This window comes from Homo sapiens, chromosome 11 (genome assembly GCF_000001405.40).
Source record: "Homo sapiens chromosome 11, GRCh38.p14 Primary Assembly".
NCBI lineage: Eukaryota > Metazoa > Chordata > Mammalia > Primates > Hominidae > Homo > Homo sapiens.
In genome coordinates, this window is record NC_000011.10 from 47,465,384 (window position 1) to 47,483,913 (window position 18,530).

The window sequence follows — 18,530 nt, forward strand, 5'->3', positions numbered from 1 at the left end:
GAGAAGGCTGAGGCCTGGTCCATCCAGCACTATTGAGTAGTCCACAGAGCCTTAGAAGCATGCCATTCAGGGGCCTTGTACTGAGGTCAGAGTGAGGGAAGTAGAAGCTTAAGAACTTTGGGCCAGAGCTTTAAAGGTCTGGAGGGAGGAAGACTGCCGGGGCTCTGGGATTTGGTGCTGGCCAGCAGAGTCCTAGGGAGCAGGGACTCTGCGCACTAGGGAAGAGATGTGCACTGGCAGGTCTGGACCAGCTCTGTTTTGTGGCAGCCAAGGAGAACAGGAGATGCTCAAAAATTAGGGTGGGCAAAAAAGTTTTAAGGTGTTTCCGCATAAGTAGAAATCCTGGAGAATACAAAAAGATGGGGAAGGCAGTTTTCTGGGGAGAAATTATGTTTTCCTTCCGGAGCTTTTGGGGGGTTCAGCTGCACATCTTCAGGTACATAAAAATGAAGCCTTATAGGGCACCCACACCCCCTCTTCAGGAACATGGCAACCCCACCTGCTCCAAGGACACATCACCCTCCCCAACAATCAGTAACTCTGAAGACATCAGTTCTTCTCAAACAGTTTAATAGCAAATAAACAAAGGAAGGTACCACACTTGGCAGATACAAAATGACTTTTTGTCCATGTGTCTGTGCAATTAAAACAGATTTAGGTTCCCCATTGGGACAAAAGGAAAAACACACAAAAAAAGGAAGGAGATTCCTTTGAAACACATACTCCCTTGCTCCAAACTTATAACAATTTTTTTTTCTTTTTAAATTCACTACACAAACTCTGTGATTAGGTAAGAAAAGCGACGAGGGCTCTCCTTGCCTTTTTTTAAACCATTAAAGTAAAATCCATAATTTTCTACAGAGTACAACACAAGTTCACACAAAAAAGACATTTTCTTTTGCAAATCAAAACAGGAAAGAAAGGAAAAGCTCAAACAAGATAAAGGAAAAGCATTTCTACGGCTGAATCACGACTGAGTTGATTGAATCCCGTTGTTGCTGCAGAACAGACTGTGCGTTTGGTCATAGTGGCAATTTTTTTTTCTCTTCACATTGTGAAATCACTTTACATTGTTTTCTAGTAGAAAAGGCAAAAAACTGTACAAAACCCCTAGTGTTAAATACAACGTTTGTACCAATAAAAAACTCACACAGGTTTGTCTCCAAAATGTAAAGTTTCTTTTTTTTTTTCTTTTTAAATTATTCACAAAAAGCAGCTGGAAATCAGAAAGGCAGCTGCCGCTCCAGGGTCTCAAATCCATTAAAACCACCACAGAACAATTAAAACAATCAGAGAGAGAAAAGGAAAAGGAAACAACGTCCAACATTTGGCATTTGGTTTTATCCACAGGTTTTCCCAGAGCTCCTCTTGGAATTGAAAGCAAAATATATTGGCAAACACTGCTTCTCAATACACAGGAAGGGGAGCCTCAGTGCCTCCTGCCAACAGAGGCGGCTCTGTGCAGTCAGACTGTGGGGTGCACAGCAGTCTCTCAGGCTGGGGTTTCTGGCCTCTTTCCATCCAATCACCCCTTCCAGGAAATTCAGCAGCCTACCAGACACTGGGCCTCTGCCTGGCTGCCCTTTCCCCCAGGCAGAGCGGCCTTGGGCATAATACCAGGCAACCTGCCAGCCCCAGAGCAGAAACCCTGCTGGGATCCCTTCCTTCATCAACCTTGGTGTGGAGGATGCTCAATAGCGCTTCCACCTCCCCCTCCCCAGCCCCTAGCTACATCTCTCCACCCTTCCCTGGACAGTCCTACTTCCCAGCTCACCCACCCACCAGCAGCTTAAGTCTGGGTGGGATCTATCATCAGCTCCTCCCCCTGTAACCTCTTCCCTCCACAGATCCACCCTGTGCTCCTCTCCTCACCTCTCCCCCTCCACTCACATTCTTACTCAAGTCTCCAAGACCCTGAGGCTGGATGGTGCCACAAGAGAGGAGGGTCAGTTTCCCTCAGGGAACCAAAAAACTGGCTTGCTTGGCACCCAGGGACAGTAGCTGTTTGGCTCTCCACCCAATTAAAAAAACAAATCCCTGCCCTTTCCCCCACCCCACTAGCTAAGCAAGAGCAGAGCTGTGATGAAGAGCCAGTGCCGGGTGGCTGGTGCCCAGGGCTGTAAACAGTGTGAAGACTGTAGTATTGTGCTTGTCACCTAGGAAAAGCGCCAGCAGGTGAATTGCCGCTTGGTGTGCAGATGGCCTCCTACGGGTGATTGGGAGCGCCCTCCTTCCTCCAGGTGCTCACTGCCCCTAATGTGCTAAATAAGCCTCTTACCCACCTGCTGCCACCTTCTAGGCTCTACCTCTGCTTCTCGTGTCTCTCCAGGCCCCCTTCCCACCCTCTCTGAGCAAAGCAGCCAGCCTCCCGGAAGCCCCGGTAAGACCTGGAGGCCACACGAAGTGACAGTCTAAGTGCACAGGCAAACGCTCTAAGGGCAATAGAGGAGAAAGTTGCCACTTCAAAATTAAACAATACAATCTTGAAAAAAATAATCAACCCTACAACAATTTAAAACAGCTTCTTTGAAACCCTTTTAAATCGATCAGTTTTTGCACAAACTATAGAAAACAGAGAGGTGAAGGTGATATATACGAAGGTGTGAAGAAACAGCAGGAAACATGCAAAACTTTTTTCTGGGCATAATCTTAGTAGGAAAGGAAAAAATTCAAAACAAAAACACAAAAACAATACAAAAACAAAAACAACAACAAAAAAATCAAAGCATCACATTTTGCTGTGGAGACTGTTGGAACAAGCATGGGGCTGAGGGGAAGGGGCAGGCGGGATATCCAGGACTCCCCAGAGTCGCTCCAGGGAAGAACCACAAAAGAAAAAGAAAAAGAAAAAGGGCTGGCTGGGGCCCAAAGTGCAGCCTGCGGTCAAAAAGGAAAGGGGGTTCAGGTGCTCTCCGCAGTTGAGAACTCAGAAGAAAAACAAAAGAAAGAACAATACATGCGGTCTCCTCAAGCCCCACAGACTGTATCAGCAAAATGTGCTCAGGAGCCTCAGAGGTTTTAGTGACATCTTTTATTTCATTGTTTACTTCAAAGTTGTCTTTAAAACTAAGCACACAGAGAAACAAAGCCTAGAAACGGACTGGCTGTGTGTTCACAGAAATACAAACACCACGCGGTATGTGCTAGTAGGGCTGCTCTGAAGACAATTACAAAGAATTGGAATCACAAAATCAAGTGGTTATCTTATGAAGTTCTAGAAAAATAGATTTTTTTTATATTCAAATGCAAGTTTAAATATTTCCCCTTCAGCAGTCGTTCTAGCAAAACCAATTTGGCAGCACAAAAGGAAAAAAAAAGGAAAGAAAAAAAGAAAAAAAAACGAAGAAAGAAACAAACATAATAAAAATACACATCAGCATCAAAGGTCAACACAAGGTCAAAGGTGAGAGTTCAAGCATCAGAGAAGCTGAAGAGACAGGGATTTGGACGATGTACTTGACGCCACATCGACATGCTTTAGGCACAACGATGAACAAACGGCAGGAATCTAGAAAAAAAAACAAACCAGAAAGAGGGAGACCCACTGAGTTACACAGAGCAATACATCCAAACAAAGAGAGAGAGAACAGGAACACTCACTGTGTGTACAGCCCTGAAATGAGGTGGGCGGGCAGGGGTTGGGTAATGACAGGGAACTTTTGCACATGCTAACAATGGACACAGGGAAAAGTCAAAAAGGACATGGAGGACACCAAGAACACATCTAATTGCCAGAGACAGAAGGGAACCTAAGGCTTGGATTTTCCATGAAGCACCCAACTCCTAAGAGAAGGTCTCCAGGGGAGCAGAGCCTCAGCCTCTCTCCCCACTCCCTGGTCACAACCCAAGGGGAAGCAGAAGATGCTGGCTGGGGTGGGGAAAATTTTTCAGGGAAGAGGACCAGAATTTCTGCTCAATCTTATGGGGATGGCCCTTTGTTCCCAGAAATCCAAGCTCTTAGCTTCCATCCAGGCCCTGGCCACTCAAGGGGAACCCAGGAGACAGTGGTCTGGCTGCATTCAAGGCAAATCAATTTCATGATGTAACCCAAGTAAGAAACAAAACTACAGCAGAAAACACATTGTAAGTGAAACCTTCACACAACAGAAAAGGATTGCTTAAGACTTGACAGCGAGTCTCCACTCTGAGCTGAGCCCTTTCACACGTGAGACTTGTAGGGGAGCAGCTTCTTCACAAAACCATCTTTGGCCTGGGGAAAGAACTGTGCTCAAGGGCAGTGCTACTGCTGTGCTAACTCACTGGGCAGGGGGAGGAGAGAACAGAGAAGTGCATGGTCTCACCAGCTGGCTGCTCAAGCAGCCCAGGACCCTGCTGGGGCGAGCATTCCTTTTAGAAAAGAAAACCCATCAGCAGGTATGAAGCCCTCAGGGTCTGGTATCAAAGGTGGGTGGATTGCACCTTGGCCTCTTATGTCATTAGGAAAGGGGTTTCATAAGGTCCCAGAGCCCAGGACAAATCCATGGACAAATAATGGTGAGATGGGGGAAGGCGGAGAGAAGAAGGGGATGTGGGAAGGGAGTGGCGTTCTGGCTAAGGAGGAAGACAGAACAGAAGGCTAGGGAGCACAGCACCGGCAGCACCCTATGGAGCACAGCTCTCTCCTCTGCCAATTCACAGCATTAACACCTTCCCCTTGGGCAGGTTAGCTGGGCTGCAAACGGGCCACAGAAAGTCAGTAGTTTCAATCATACACAGCACCCTGTGTGTATAACAATCACATTCTGGATTCTACAAAATCCTGGCCTTTTCCAGAGATATAATTTAGGTAATAAATATTCTCCACCCCGGAGCTGTATAAAACTTCTATAAAAATAGAAACGACATTCTTGGTTCCAGCCGGTTGGGATTCAGAACAGCGCCTCCCCAACCTAGCATTTTTTTCTTTTTTTTTTTTGTTTTCTTTTTTCTTTTTTATTTTTATTTTTTGCATTTATTTAAAAAATCCCATCATGACCCTGGAAGCCTTTAGAACAGTTTTATCCTTTGAAACACAGGACACATTTCTCCCAGTGCGCAGAATTTCAAGTTTACGTGGTTCAGCTTAAGAAGTGTATGTTTCACGTTCCTTAGAGGACAACAGACCCAAGTTATCACTATGAGAAAGGAACAGCTGTCCCAGCTTCAATGGGATAATCCAACACCACCAGCTACCTGTACAACAGTAAGATGGTCAATCCCTGTCTGTTACCCACAGGGACAGCATGACAAGGAGAGAGCCCCCATCTGACTTAATAGCAAACCAACCCCTTTATTCTTATCTCTGCTGCTAGGGGTCAAGACTGGTATTTGTTGAGGTTTCAGATTCCAGAGACCCAGGGATCCCATCCCTGGCTGTGGCTACAGTCACATCTTAACAGGGCCACCTCTGCCCAGGTGTACATTCCCAACAGCATGTCCTTCCTGGTTCTCTACCCCCACAGCACTTCTTAGAGCAGAGGCAGAGCCCAGAAGCTGTGTGGGTCACAGGCAAGAGCTGAAGTAAGACCTGCAAGAGGCGGCAGGGAGCTAACTGTAGCACGAGGACAAAAATGAACACGGTAATACTGAGGTAAATGAACACTCAATTCATGTGGAGGCTGTAAACGTCCTGATGTCACCTCTGCCTCAAGAGCAGAAAATGTGACTGGAGTGGTTACAGGAGGGGCCTGCCAGACCCCTGTGGGAATACTACATCTGGGACACCTCAATCAAGGAGGCAAGGGAGAATTTCTGGCCACTGGCAAATGAAGCATACTGGCTTGCAGGGACCTTCTGATTCAAGTACACCAAGAAATAAGCTCCTCCTCCCCCAACTAGATGGTATTGATCACTCTGCCCACAAATGGTACCCCCTTCAGCAAGAACTGCAAGCCCTTCTTGGATTTGCCTTCATGAGAAAATGGTGGCTTGGGATGGAGGTGACATTCCTTGCTGTGGTGAACTGCAAAGAAGGAAACCAGGCAATGTATTCCATAGAGGCCTTTAAAGAGACCCGTTGGAAATGGGCCATGGTCTAATTTGGTGTTGAAATAAACTAACCTCTTTGGCTGTTTCTCCCAAACTGCCACCAGCCAGGCAAGGCCAATCCAATACTGACTGCTGGCTGGGGGAGCTCGTAATGGGTGATGCCGCCCTGCTTTTTGCATATGTCAGGCTAACAGGTGCTTTATTTCCAGAGAATTGTTAATGCCCTTTTTTGAAAAGAGCAGCAGAAATTCCGGACAAGAATCTGAAAAATAGGTGTCAAAAACTATTTCCCAGAAGGTAGCTGTACAGGAGTTTGAGTCTCCAGCTGCCAGGGCATTAGGTGTCTAGTCACTCCACTCTTCCCCAAAGCCGCTCTGCTCCCCACAGCTCCCAGGTGTCAGTTCTCATTCTACCCACCCTCACACTAAGAGAGGTTCTGGGGGTCACTTTTTTGTTCCACTCAGTCCTCTCTCTTGGGGTGGTTTGGGGCAAATCCTGATCATCGTCTGTGTTAAATGTTTCCCTGTCCCCCTTCCCCAGGGTGGTTTGGTGTTGGTCCTTCTCAACACACACTGGTTACAAACACAGCAAACTTTAAATAAAGGAGAAACAAAAACAAAAACAAAAAAAACCTCAGGATATGGCACCTAAACTCCAAAGTAAAACACTGGAAACCAAAGCACAAACTTGTCCTCTGTACGAAGCGAAACTCCCACAGAAGGCAGTAGCCGAGTCTTCAGGGCAAGCTGTGCCTGCGAGAGTGGCAGGGATCAGGGTCCAGGGCTGTCAACACACAGCCTCAGGGCTTCGAATCATTAAGGGTGCTCCTCCCCCACTTACCAGAAGACCCTCTCACTCCAGTCTCAGAGGGGAGCACGCTCAGTAGGGCTTGCTGTCATTCTTCGAACGTTTGAGCTGCACTTTAAGCCGCTTCATGCCAATCTGAAAGCCGTTCATGGACTGGATGGCAGCTTGGGCCGAAACAGGATTGTCGTAACTTACAAAACCTGTGTGTCCAAGCAGAAACCTAGGTGAGGGACATAATGAGGCAAGGAGATTCTCAGTCCTCCTTATGCAAGATACCTTATGTGCTTCATCTCAAATCCCAATTTTATTCAGCAGGGACAAGAAATCTGGACATTATGTCATACGAAATAAATTAGGTTCTTAATAGTACCACTTAACAGCTACATGGTAATTTAAAGGTTTTTTTCTTTTTCTTGAGACAGGGTCTTGCTCTGTCACCCAGGGTGGAGTACAGTGGTGTGACCATGGTTCACTGCAACCTTGGCCTCCTGGGCTCAGGTGATCCTCTCACCTCAGCCTCAAGTAGCTGGGAACACAGGTACACGCCACCACGTCTGACTAATTTTTTGTAGCCATGAGGTCTCACTCTGTTGCTCAGGCTGGTCTCGAACTCCTAGGCTCAAGCGATCCTCCTGCCTTGGCCTCCCCAAGTACTGGGACTTACAGGCACAAACCTGGACTGTTTAAAGGTTTTTTTGCAAACCATTTTCCATATATTATTTTTCTCTCTGGAGCAACAGTGTGGGTAGAAATCCTTACCTCCACTACAGCAATGAGAAACTGGGGCTCAAAAAGAGGTCATAATGACCTGCCCATGGCCAAGTTAAAACAACACCACAAACTCATATTCAGATCTTTCTGCAGTGAGCTCCTTCTTTCTCAGTGGTAAAATACTAATCCCATCCTGACACCAGAGAGAAGCCAACATACCAAAACACTTGCTCAGGTTTGTCTGCTTGTCTATGAAAACCTTGGCAGACACGACATTCCCAAAGGGCATAAACATCTGCAGCAGGTCCTGATCACCAAACTCCTGGGGCAGGTGGTAGATGAACAGGTTGGCTCCCTCTGGACCTTCAAAATACCCAGGAATTGGAAAAGTATCAGTGTCAAACATGCTCGTCGCCCTGCACCAGTGATCTTTCATTTCCACCTATGTTAAAACTGTCACAATCCCTAAAAACAGAGATTCATCTGGGGAACTAAACAGATTCTCTAAATACAAAGCAAGGAACCAAAGGCAAACATTAAAACAGATTCCTTCCCTCACATTCAGCCAAGCTCCATCTCATTGAGGATGTGAGAAATTCTACCCGCAGGAGGAGGAGTGTTGGGATAATAAAGCAGGCCGACTTGTGTGTGGAGCAGGAAAACAGAGACTGTAGGCTCAGAGAGGAACACAGAAGAGGAGGTGAAAAGGGGTTATAAACAAAACAGGTTTCCAAATAATGCCTAGAAACCACAGGGACAGCAAACAGATTGGTAGTTGCCAGATGCAGGGAATGACTACAAAGGGGCACGAGGGAATTTCTAGGGGTGATGGAAATGTTCCTAATCTGTGGTGATGGTTGCAGGACTAGGACTGTTTGTCAATACTCATATAGCTGTATGCCAAAATCAGTGAGTTTCATCATATGTAAATGGGAAAATAAGAAATTAGTTTTAAAAATGCACCCATGATTAACACTGAGCTTAAAAACAGAATATACATTCTTCATCTGACTATTTACACTCAATGATTTTCTTTTTTTTTCTTTCTTTTTTTTTGAGATAGAGGCTCACTCTGTTGCCCAGGTTGGAGTGCAGTGGCGTGAACTCAGGTCACTGCAACCTCCGCCTCCCGGGTTCAAGCAATTCTCCTGCCTCAGCCTCCCGAGTAGCTGGGATTACAGGCAGGCGCCACCATGCCTGGCGTATTTTTAGTAGCGATGGGGTTTCACCATGTTGGTCAGGCTGGTCTCGAACTCCTGATCTCATGATCTGCCTGCCTTGGCCTCTCAAAGTGCTGGGATTACAGGCGCGAGCCACTGCGCCCAGCCTACTCAATGATTTTCTAACCAAAAAGCTTTATTACAATTGCAGTCCAGCCATTCTCCAGCCACCCTGGCCTCCCTGTTTTTTTCAAACACATCAGGGAACATTGCTGCCTCAGGGCCTCTGTACTTGCTTTTCCTATGCCCCTGTTACTCTTCTTTCTCTAGATTCAGGCATGACTTGCTTCCTACTTCCTTCAGTTCTCTGCTTAAATGTCAATCTAGAGAGACATTCTCTGAGCATTCTGCATAAAATGCAGTGCCTCTGACACTCCCTATCTCTCTTCCCGGCTTGTCATTCTCCAGAGGATCATCTGAAACACCTCATGCTTTCATTTATTTATTGTCTGTCTCCACAGTCTCCACTAAAATATTGGTTCACGCTACATTCTCCTACTACCACATCCCTAGGGGATATAAGTGATTCACAGCAGGTGAGGAGAGATGAACCAGGACTTTCTGCTGTGACAAGAGGACACTCATCTTTTTCCTACATTAGTGCTTATACCAGCTCCTGGTTATAAAAACCCAGTCAAATCTGAGCACAGAGGTGTCAGCAGGACCTTCTATTCATGTAAGTCACCTTCAGGCCTCTTTCTGGCTAAAGAGTCTCTCCTATTTTTCTCCTAAATTGAATACCATTTGTGTCAAACGACATACTTCCCACTCCATCAACTCATGGGCCAAACTCTGTCCCATCACCCCTCAGTTTGTCTTCAATCAGGACAAACATCAATCAGAAAGTGAGGAAAATGCCAAATGATATAGCTAAAAGGGACACTGAAACAGAAGACATCCAGACAGAAGATCCTCTGATAGATTTGTAATCTGTAGAGAAGACCTCCTAACAGAAACATTCTTGTCAAATGTGTCAGACCCGATAAGGTCAGTGTCTGTTGCTTCATCTAAAAACTGCAGCCCCATCCCAAGAGGGCACACAGAGGTTCTGATTTGAGCCACATCCAGAAAACATTTAAAAAGCAGATCACACTTCACAGGGTTTCTCAGTCTACACTTGACACTGTCAAAGAAAAACAATGGTCTGACGACCTAACTGGTTCCCTCAGCCTTTGCTCTGCCTTTCCGTTCTGGTATAGGAGGAAAACCGCCCCCCATACCTGACCCCGATCTCCCTTTGCACTCACCTTCCTTCTGGCTTCCAGCAGCACCAATACTCTGCTGTGTCAGAAGATTCTGGTTGTACAGAGTGGGGAGCGCAGCAGCAGCATATTGCTGGATACCCGAGTAGGCCTGAGTGAGGGCCTCCATGGTGCTCCCGGTGCCATTGGAAAGGCCACTGCTGCCCAGGCCACCATTTAAAGCAGCCATTCCTTGGTTGGAGGAAGAGAAGGATTAATATACTAGAAAGACTAAACTGATGCCAAAGACAAGTCTACTTGGGACATCTAGAAGAGGGAAAACTCCAAAGTTCTCCCCTTTATCTCCCTCTTAGTTTCTCCCTGAGAAGAAACTATCTGACTGGCTAGATTTCAGGACATTCACCAGGCCTTGCTAATGGGGACATTAAGAAATGCCATACGCGGGTGTTGTGCTCCCCATTACCTTCATCCAATCTGTGGAATGAGAGCCTCCATTTTCTATCTGGCTATTCTGCCACTTTCTCATAATGAGCTAGAATGTCATAAAAGAAGAGGCCCAAGACTGCAAACTCAAAGGGGTACATGTGATTTCTGACAAGATGTGGGTGAACCCTACCATTAAAACAGCAACTAACAGGTACTAAGTACATTCTATGTGTCATCTACTGTACTATGCAATGTGCTCAGCAGCACTTTACCTATGTTCTAATTTTTTTTTTTTTTTTTGGAGACAGAGTCTCACTCTGTCACCTAGGTTGGAGTTCAGTGGTACAATCATAGCTCACTGCAGCCTCAAGCTCCCAGGCTCAAGCAATCCTCCCGGCCTCAGCCTCCCAAGTAGCTGGGACTACAGGCATGCACCACTACACCCAGATAATTTTTGTAGAGATGGAGTTCTCACTATGTTGCTCAGGCTGGTCTGGAACTTGTGACCTAGGGTGATCCCCTGCTTTGGCCTCCCAAACTGCTGGGACTATAGGTATGAGCCACTGTACCTGGCCTCATTTAATTTTTAACAATCCTTCAAAGTATTCTATTATTCCCACTTCAAAGATGAGAAAATGTCCTTAGAAAGGTGGTCCGAAGTTATAGCTAGCTAACGGACACAGGTGGGATTTAACTCAGGTCTGATTTAAAAATCCCATGCTTTTTTGAGACGGACTCTCGCTCTGTCACCCAGGCTGGAGTGCAGTGGCGCAATCTTGGCTCACTGCAACTTCTGCCTCCCCGGTTCATGCCATTCTCCTGCCTCAGCCTCCCAAGTAGCTAGGACTACAGGCGCCCGCCACCAGGCCCAGCTAATTTTTTTGTATTTTTAGGGGAGACGGGGTTTCACCGTGTTAGCCAGAATGGTCTCGATCTCCTGACCTCGTGATTCGCCCACCTTGACCTCCCAAAGTGCTGGGATTAGAGGTGTGAGCCACCACACCTGGCCCTCATGATTATTTTTAACTTCACTGGGCCACTGCAATCATTCCAGTGGTGCCCCTACCAGGGTTAAGATGTGCTACCTGCACAAAGAATAGTCTGATGACAGCCAGGTGCTGCCCCTTACCTGCCAAAGAGCCAACATTGAGGCCAGCCGTTGCTCCAGCTAATGTCTGCAGGGCTCCAAGTGAGGCTATGGGGTTGACAGAATTACTGCTGCTAGAGCTAGGTGAGGACCCTGCTATTAGAAAGCAAGGAGTTAAAATTCAACCCATCACTGGCATTCTCGCCAAATACAAGAAAAAGTGTCACTATCCAAGTATGCTATTTGTAAAGAGGTTTTCAGTTACTAATTCTAACAACTGTCCTTGCAGGACAGAGACAAATAATGGCCACAGCACATTGAAAATCAGGAAGATTTCTCTTAAGTACAAAAGATGACATTTGAAAATTTGTTGCTCATAATCTGACCTCTCTGGAAACAGGTGTTAACTATTTTCCCTCTCTGGACTCTGCCTTTAAACACAAAGCATCTGTCCAAGGCACATAATGGCACACTGGGTCATCCTCATGCTTACCTGAACTAGTGAGCACGCTGAGGGGACTGCTGGATGTAGTGAGAGCATTGGTACCACTTGGTGTGTTCTGAGCTGCACTAGCTGCAGCAGCTAGTGCAGCCAAATTCTGTAACTGCATTGCATTCAACCCTACAACATCCAAAGCAAGAGATTAGCCAGCAGATAAGGGTGCTTCATATCCATTCCAGCAATGACAAGCACACACTGGCAGAGGGCTGGTCCCTGACAAAGAGGAACTGTTCTAGATAAGCCTTACAAACAACATTACAGGGCTCCAAAAATGATTCATGTATCACTCATTAAGAAACTTGAAATCATTTCCTCAGAGAAGAGATGGCTAATCCAATAGCATACCATGCCAAGTGTACATTAATAAAGGTGTGGGCAATTAGGAAACCAAGAAAAACTGCCTACCATAGGGCCAGGAGCACAGGAGAACAATGCCAAAACCTACAGCACAGAATGGGACTGCATCCAGGCCCCTCACTCACACTTTACAGGGGATTCGCTCTCTGTAATAGAGGGGAACACGCAGAAAACATGGCAGATGCAGAAGGCCCAGGAGCAAACAAGGGAGAACACAGCAGAGCAGCAATGACACAAAGAATAAAGACACTGTCACTTGAATAGCAGATTCATCACCAGAAAGAGGAGAGAGGAAAAATCACTGAGTGAAAGACTTCCAAGTAGAGCCCAGACAACACAGTTGAAAGGGGAAGAAGGAATCTAAACTGTGCTGTCGCTGCTGCAAACCATTTACTAGACAATGGAAAGATGGATGGGGTGAGGGGTGGGGGGAGTGGAAAGAGTAAACGAGAATTAAAATACAATACAGATTACAATCTAGCAACTTTCCAAAAATATAGCCAACTATAATTTCCTGAGACAAAGTGAATGACTATCAAAAATTTTCAAAGAGCAAAATGCAGTTCACTGAAAACTATGCCTTTCTCAAATGCACATTTGGCCTAGCCTAAATCCAATGCAGAGGGTGTAGGCACAGGCAGCTTTGAAGCTGTCCCATGCCCTACCCCCAACCGACTCCTGATGGGCCCTAGCTCAGGTTTGTTGTGGCACTCCATTTAAGTTTTCTGTGTACGATAATAGCAACAACAAAATAGGAATTCACCTAAGAAACAAGAAGATACACAGGTAAACCAAATGCCTGGGTTCTAGAAGCTTCAAGGTAGGGCATTTGCATGGAAGCCATCTTTGGCTTTTCTGCAGTCACTGGAAAAGTCACTTTATAATGGAAATAAAGAGTTCTTGCAATTTTTTCCCCTTATCAGAGAACAGCCTCAGTCTATAGGAGCTAAACAGCCCTTTTCCATATTCTTCTTCAACAGTGACCTAAAAGGTTAGGAGGCACCAGATAACGTCAGAGCAATGTGGCATCAACTAGCCATAGAGCCACTGTATAGAGACAAGAAAATTGAGTCCTGGGATGTTTATCCTAGGTCAGGTTTACATAATAAGCAAAAAAATGTTTTCACAGAAACGATGCCAAACTCCCAAGACTGTTGTTAGCTGGGTCTGCTGGCCTGGGTGCTGCTGCTCCTCTGCAGCAGTGAAACACTTACCTCCCATTGGGTGGAGGCTGCTCAGGGTGTTGAGGTTCCCAGAGGAGGCAGTCTGCTGAAGGAGCTGCAAATAAAGCTAGACATTACACCAAAAAACAGAACAAGAGTGAGAGTGAGGGCTGGTTCTGCATCTGGGATAACTCTACAGCACAGCAAAGCGAGAGTGCAGAGGCCCCCAGAGAGAAGAAAGTCAAAGACAAGAACCCAAGCCAACACAACAGAAACATGAGGCTTATGACAGCACAGGACAAAAAAAAAACACAGCTAAAGCACTGGCCCAGAAGATAGTATGTTCACTGAATACTGAGCCAAGCTCAAGTCCCTGGGCAGCAGAATTCAGCACAGCAAAGGACAGAACTACAGCAGGATAATAAGCTAAACTTGAGGAGCTACGCAGTCAACTGTGATTATTGTCTGCGAATGAATGAATGCCATTTCCAGCTACCCTCTCCCAAGTTCTCCTTAGTTAGGTCCACACATCTCACTCTGCAGATTGTTTCCATCTGGATACTCAATTTCTACTTCACACAACTATTTTAAATATCAAATCTAAACATTTCATAGTATTTCTTGGAGTTACCCTTTATTGGTCACAATGGACCACATGACTAATAATCACTCCAGCTACACATCTATCCAACCTTATTTACTTCCTCCCCTCCAAACTGGTCTTCCCTGTTGCAGATGACCAAATGACTGATGGATTAGTCTATACCAGGTTCAGAGTACGTTCTCCTTCAATGATGGTCCCATGACAAATAAAGTAAGAGGGCCTGTCCCTGAGTTTGTGGCATTAGTTTACTTTGTATATTGGCAAACCACAACCTTCATCTAACCAGCTTGCTGAAAACTTTTGCTCCAACTAAACCCAATTAGTATTGTTTATGGAAAATTGGTATTCTTGTACAGGATCCTTTTATTCAACCTGTTTCCCATTCCTATAAACATCTGACCTGGTTTCTCTGTCGCCGCAAATCCTTCCAGGCTAGAGACCATGGATAAGTTTCAGGAGGTCTACAAACCTCCAGGAACAGAATGGGGGAAAAAATGCACCTATACACCCTTTCCCCCCGCTTCTCAAAGGATAAAAAGATAAAAACCAACTCCTCCAGGACAGTAGAGCCTGGCTAACTCAAGTCCACATAGTCCAGAAAGAACCTCATAATTAATGATGATGTACTATCACACAGTCCACTAGCACCCACGTCTACACTTTTTTTTTTTTTTTTTTGAGACGGAGTCTCGCTCTGTCGCCAGGCTGGAGTACAATGGTGATCTCAGCTCACTGCAACCTCCGCCTTCCAGGTTCAAGCGATTCTCCTGCCTCAGCCTCCCGAGTAGCTGGGACCACAGGTGTGTACCATCACACCCAGCTAATTTTTGTATTTTTAGTAGAGACGGGGTTTCACCATGTTGGTCAGGCTGGTCTCAAACTCCTAACCTCAGGTGATTTGCCTGCCTCGGCTTCCCAAAATGCTGGGATTACAGGCATAAGCCACCGCGCCTGGCCTTTTTCTTCTTAAACACCTTGGGCTATGTGTTCAGTCCTAACTGGTGGACGGTGAATACTGTACTTGGTCCCTTCATTTCCCTCCAAATGAGATTAGCTCTTAGGGCAGGAATCATGTCTAACCAAAACAAAGAGAACACAGCTCTCAACACATGCCATCATGTACTTGCTGGTAGTGGCAATGACAACAAAAAGGTTAACCTTCCCTAAAGGGGGGCTCCAAAAGTCTCTAAGAAAAGCAAATGCATAGCATGTAGACCATTTTCAAAGCATTATCATTTCTGCAGATGACTAAAACCTCCCTGAATTTTCTGAACATATAAGCAATGTTTCAGCACTAAGAAACAATTTTTTCTGTTGAAATATAACCGGACCCAGTGGTTCACGCCTGTAATCCCAGAACTTTGGGAGGGCAAGGTAGGCAAATCACTTGAGGTCGGGAGTTTGAGACCAGCCTGGCTCACATAAGCAAAACCCTGTCTCTACTAAAACTACAAAAATTAGCCAGGCGTGGTGGCACATGACTGTAATCCCAGCTGCTTGCAGTTGGAGGTTGCAGTGAGCAGAGATTGCGCCACTGTTTTCCAACCTGGGCAACAGAGCGAGGCTTCAAAACAAAACAAAACAAAACAACCCCAACTCTTTATATTTTTTTAAAAAAACTTCAGAGAAATACTAGCTAGGATAAACTGGGGTTTTTTTTTTTTTTCTTCTTCTTTTTTTTTTTTTTTTTTTTTTTTTGTGAGACAGAGTCTCGCTCTATTGCCCAGGCTGGAGTGCAATGGTGCGATCTTGGCTCACTGCAACCTCCGCTCAGTGCAACCTCCGCCTCCCAGGTTCAAGCCATTCTCCTGCCTCAGCTTCCCGAGCAGCTGGGATTACAGGCACCTGCCACCACACCCATGTAATTTTTTTGTATTTTTAGTATAGACAGGGTTTCACCATGCTGGCCAGGCTGGTCTCAAACTCCCAACCTCAGGCGATCCACTCACCTCAGCCTCCCAAAGTGTTGGGATTACAGGCGTGAGTCACAGCGCCCGGCCTAAACTGGGATTTCTTATAAGATATTAGAAATATGAAAACCACTGGAACTAAACCAAAATTCAGTACTGGGAGACAGAAATCAGTGCCTTTTGTCTGTTTCCATACAGAATAATACTTGAAATGATGAGGAATAAATGACTATACTAGCTATTTCTATGTGAATATTTTTGTATCATCCATACAAATCTAGTGGTTTCACCATTAATAGCCTAAGATGACCTTTTTCCTCTTTGACTCACAAATGGGTGGTTTTAACTGTCTTGTGCTGGCCCAATTCTTTTCCATTAATAATCCCCTGTAACATATACACTGCAGACCTAGTAAATCTAAATCACAAATTGGGGCGAGACCTTCTTTTGGACTAGACAACCTTCTTTTGGCTCACGACAACAGAGAGATCAAATTAAAGGAAGTCTATTTACAATGTAGTAAACTTGAATATACACCTGTAATGCTCATTTAAAAATGTTCATGTTAATCTCTTGATCTCCGCCAGGCGCAGTGGCTCACACCTGTAAACCCAGCACTTTGGGAGGCCAAGACAGGTGGATCACCTGAGGTCGTGAGTTCGAGACCAGCCTGGCCAACACAGTGAAAGCCCATCCCTACTAGAAATACAAAAATTAGCTGGGTGTGATGGTGTGTGTCTGTAGTCCCAGCTACTTGGGAAGTTGAGGCAGGAGAATCACTTGAACCCGAGGTGGAGGTTGCAGTAAGCCAAGATTGTGCCACTGCACTCTAGCCTGGGTGACAGAGTGAGTGAGACTCCGTCTCAAAAAATAAATAAATAAATAAATAAATAAAGCAAAAAAAGAAAAAAAATCTCTTGATCTCTCAAGTCCGCTGAAAGAAACATTTATCATACTCTTTAGGAAAGACTCAATAAGGATTTTAATGATGCCCTCTACATCTGGTAGAAAGAGATATGGAGAAAGACACTGGTAGTTAAGATTCCCTCAGGAATTTCTTTCTTGGAGGCAAGGACACAAGATGTTTCTAAATCTTTAAAACGGGAAACCAGGAATTCACTTTAGTTGCAGCAAAAGCCTCAAGATATAACCAGAGATGCATGTCCAGAGATACATATATATAGAGAGAGAAAGAGACTAACAGGACTAAAAGAAATAGTACTACCTGAATTTTTACATATAATTTCTATATGCCAAAAGTTGTAAATGCCACTGTGTTTGTTGGCTAGGGACAGCAGAAGAAGGAACAGCTGGGAGCTTGCACAGTCTGCAGAAAGCAAACCACAAAGACTCACTGCTAAATACTGGGGTCCAAGAGTATTTAGACCAGCAAGGTTTCCCCACACAGATGCTGCGCTGATTTGCTGCATCTGCTGCTGGAGCTGCTGGGCCATTCTCTTCTGTTCTTTGTCCTTCTGTGTATCAGCAAATTTTACCACCATGGGTGATGAGCAACCCTGTGAAAAGACCATAACGAAAGGGTCAAATTCCTCCATCTGAAAAGAAGAAAAAAAATCTTCCTTTTGGATGACATGCAGGTTACATTCTAATTTCATTCACTGCCAAATGATTCTCCTCATGATAGACACAAGAGAGAAGAGACTGTAATCCCAACACTTTGGGAGGCTGAGGCGGGTGGATCACTTGAGCCCAGGAATTTTAGACCAGCCTGGGCAACATGGCAAAACGGTCGCTATTAAAAAAAAATACAAAAATTAACTGGGCGTGCTGGTGTGCACCTGTAGTCCCAGCTACTTGAGTGGCAGAGGTAGGGGGGATCACTTGAGCCTGGGTGGTTGGGGCTGCAGTGAGCCATGATATTCCCACTGCACTCCAGCCCAGGTGACAAAGTAAGACCCCATCTCAAAAAAAGGGGTAGGGAGAGCATTTCCAATACGTTAATTTTAAAGAAATCAGTGGTTTTTAACTTTAAGATGTTGGCTGTTTAACCTTCTGGGCAATCAGATGCTGCACATGCTGCTGGACTTTAATGGCCAACTGTCCCAGCATTCCCAAGCTGAGGAATTTTCCCCATCACCTATCTGCTCCCTACCTCCATGGTCTGTGCTTGGTGCATTGCCTTGATAGCCGTCTGTGCCATGGCTCTTGTTGTAAAAGTCACAAATGCACAACCTGGTAAGAGAAGAGTCAGTAACTCATGCATTCATTTATTTCTCTGACAAACATTAACTGAGCACCTACTATGTGCTGACTATCATGCTAGCAATACAGACACAGTCCCTGTTTTCAGGGAATCATGTGCTGGTATGTTGCAACAGGGTGATATGTGCTATAATGAAAAAACAGAACCACTGACAGAAAAAAAAAATGCTTGACAGGAGAAAGGAGGACTCATATCCTCTAGTTCCTCTTGAAAATAAAAGAAAATGGAAGAAGAAAGTATTTCCATTTTGGCATCAAGGATCTTGCAAAGCACCAAAAGAGAAAATTTTAATACATGACAATGAAATATAGAATGTAGACTCCTTAGAGGGGCTGGGAGACAAAAAGAAT

General features: G+C 45.3%; 1 protein-coding gene across 121 annotated transcripts in view; it reads right to left on the reverse strand.

Moving 5' to 3' along the window:
* Window positions 1-553: 553 nt before the first annotated feature.
* The window catches only part of CELF1 (CUGBP Elav-like family member 1), a 99,603-nt gene continuing 81,626 nt past the window's right edge, over window positions 554-18,530 (reverse strand). For 22 of the 121 annotated variants that reach the window (NM_001376393.1, XM_047426270.1, NM_001376423.1 and 19 more), the window contains 8 exons: window positions 18,070-18,149; window positions 17,312-17,473; window positions 13,494-13,569; window positions 11,914-12,042; window positions 11,463-11,576; window positions 9,953-10,138; window positions 7,705-7,848; window positions 554-6,974 (listed from right to left, as the gene is read on the reverse strand). In NM_001376393.1, the coding sequence (NP_001363322.1) occupies window positions 6,847-6,974; window positions 7,705-7,848; window positions 9,953-10,138; window positions 11,463-11,576; window positions 11,914-12,042; window positions 13,494-13,569; window positions 17,312-17,473; window positions 18,070-18,149 (1,019 nt within the window). In that variant the 3' untranslated portion in view covers window positions 554-6,846. Of the gene's footprint in view, window positions 6,995-7,704; window positions 7,849-9,952; window positions 10,139-11,462; window positions 11,577-11,913; window positions 12,043-13,493; window positions 13,570-17,311; window positions 17,474-18,069; window positions 18,150-18,530 lie in introns of all 121 variants that reach the window. The other 99 variants (NM_001376417.1, NM_001376431.1, NM_001376420.1 and 96 more) reach the window with 28 other exon arrangements.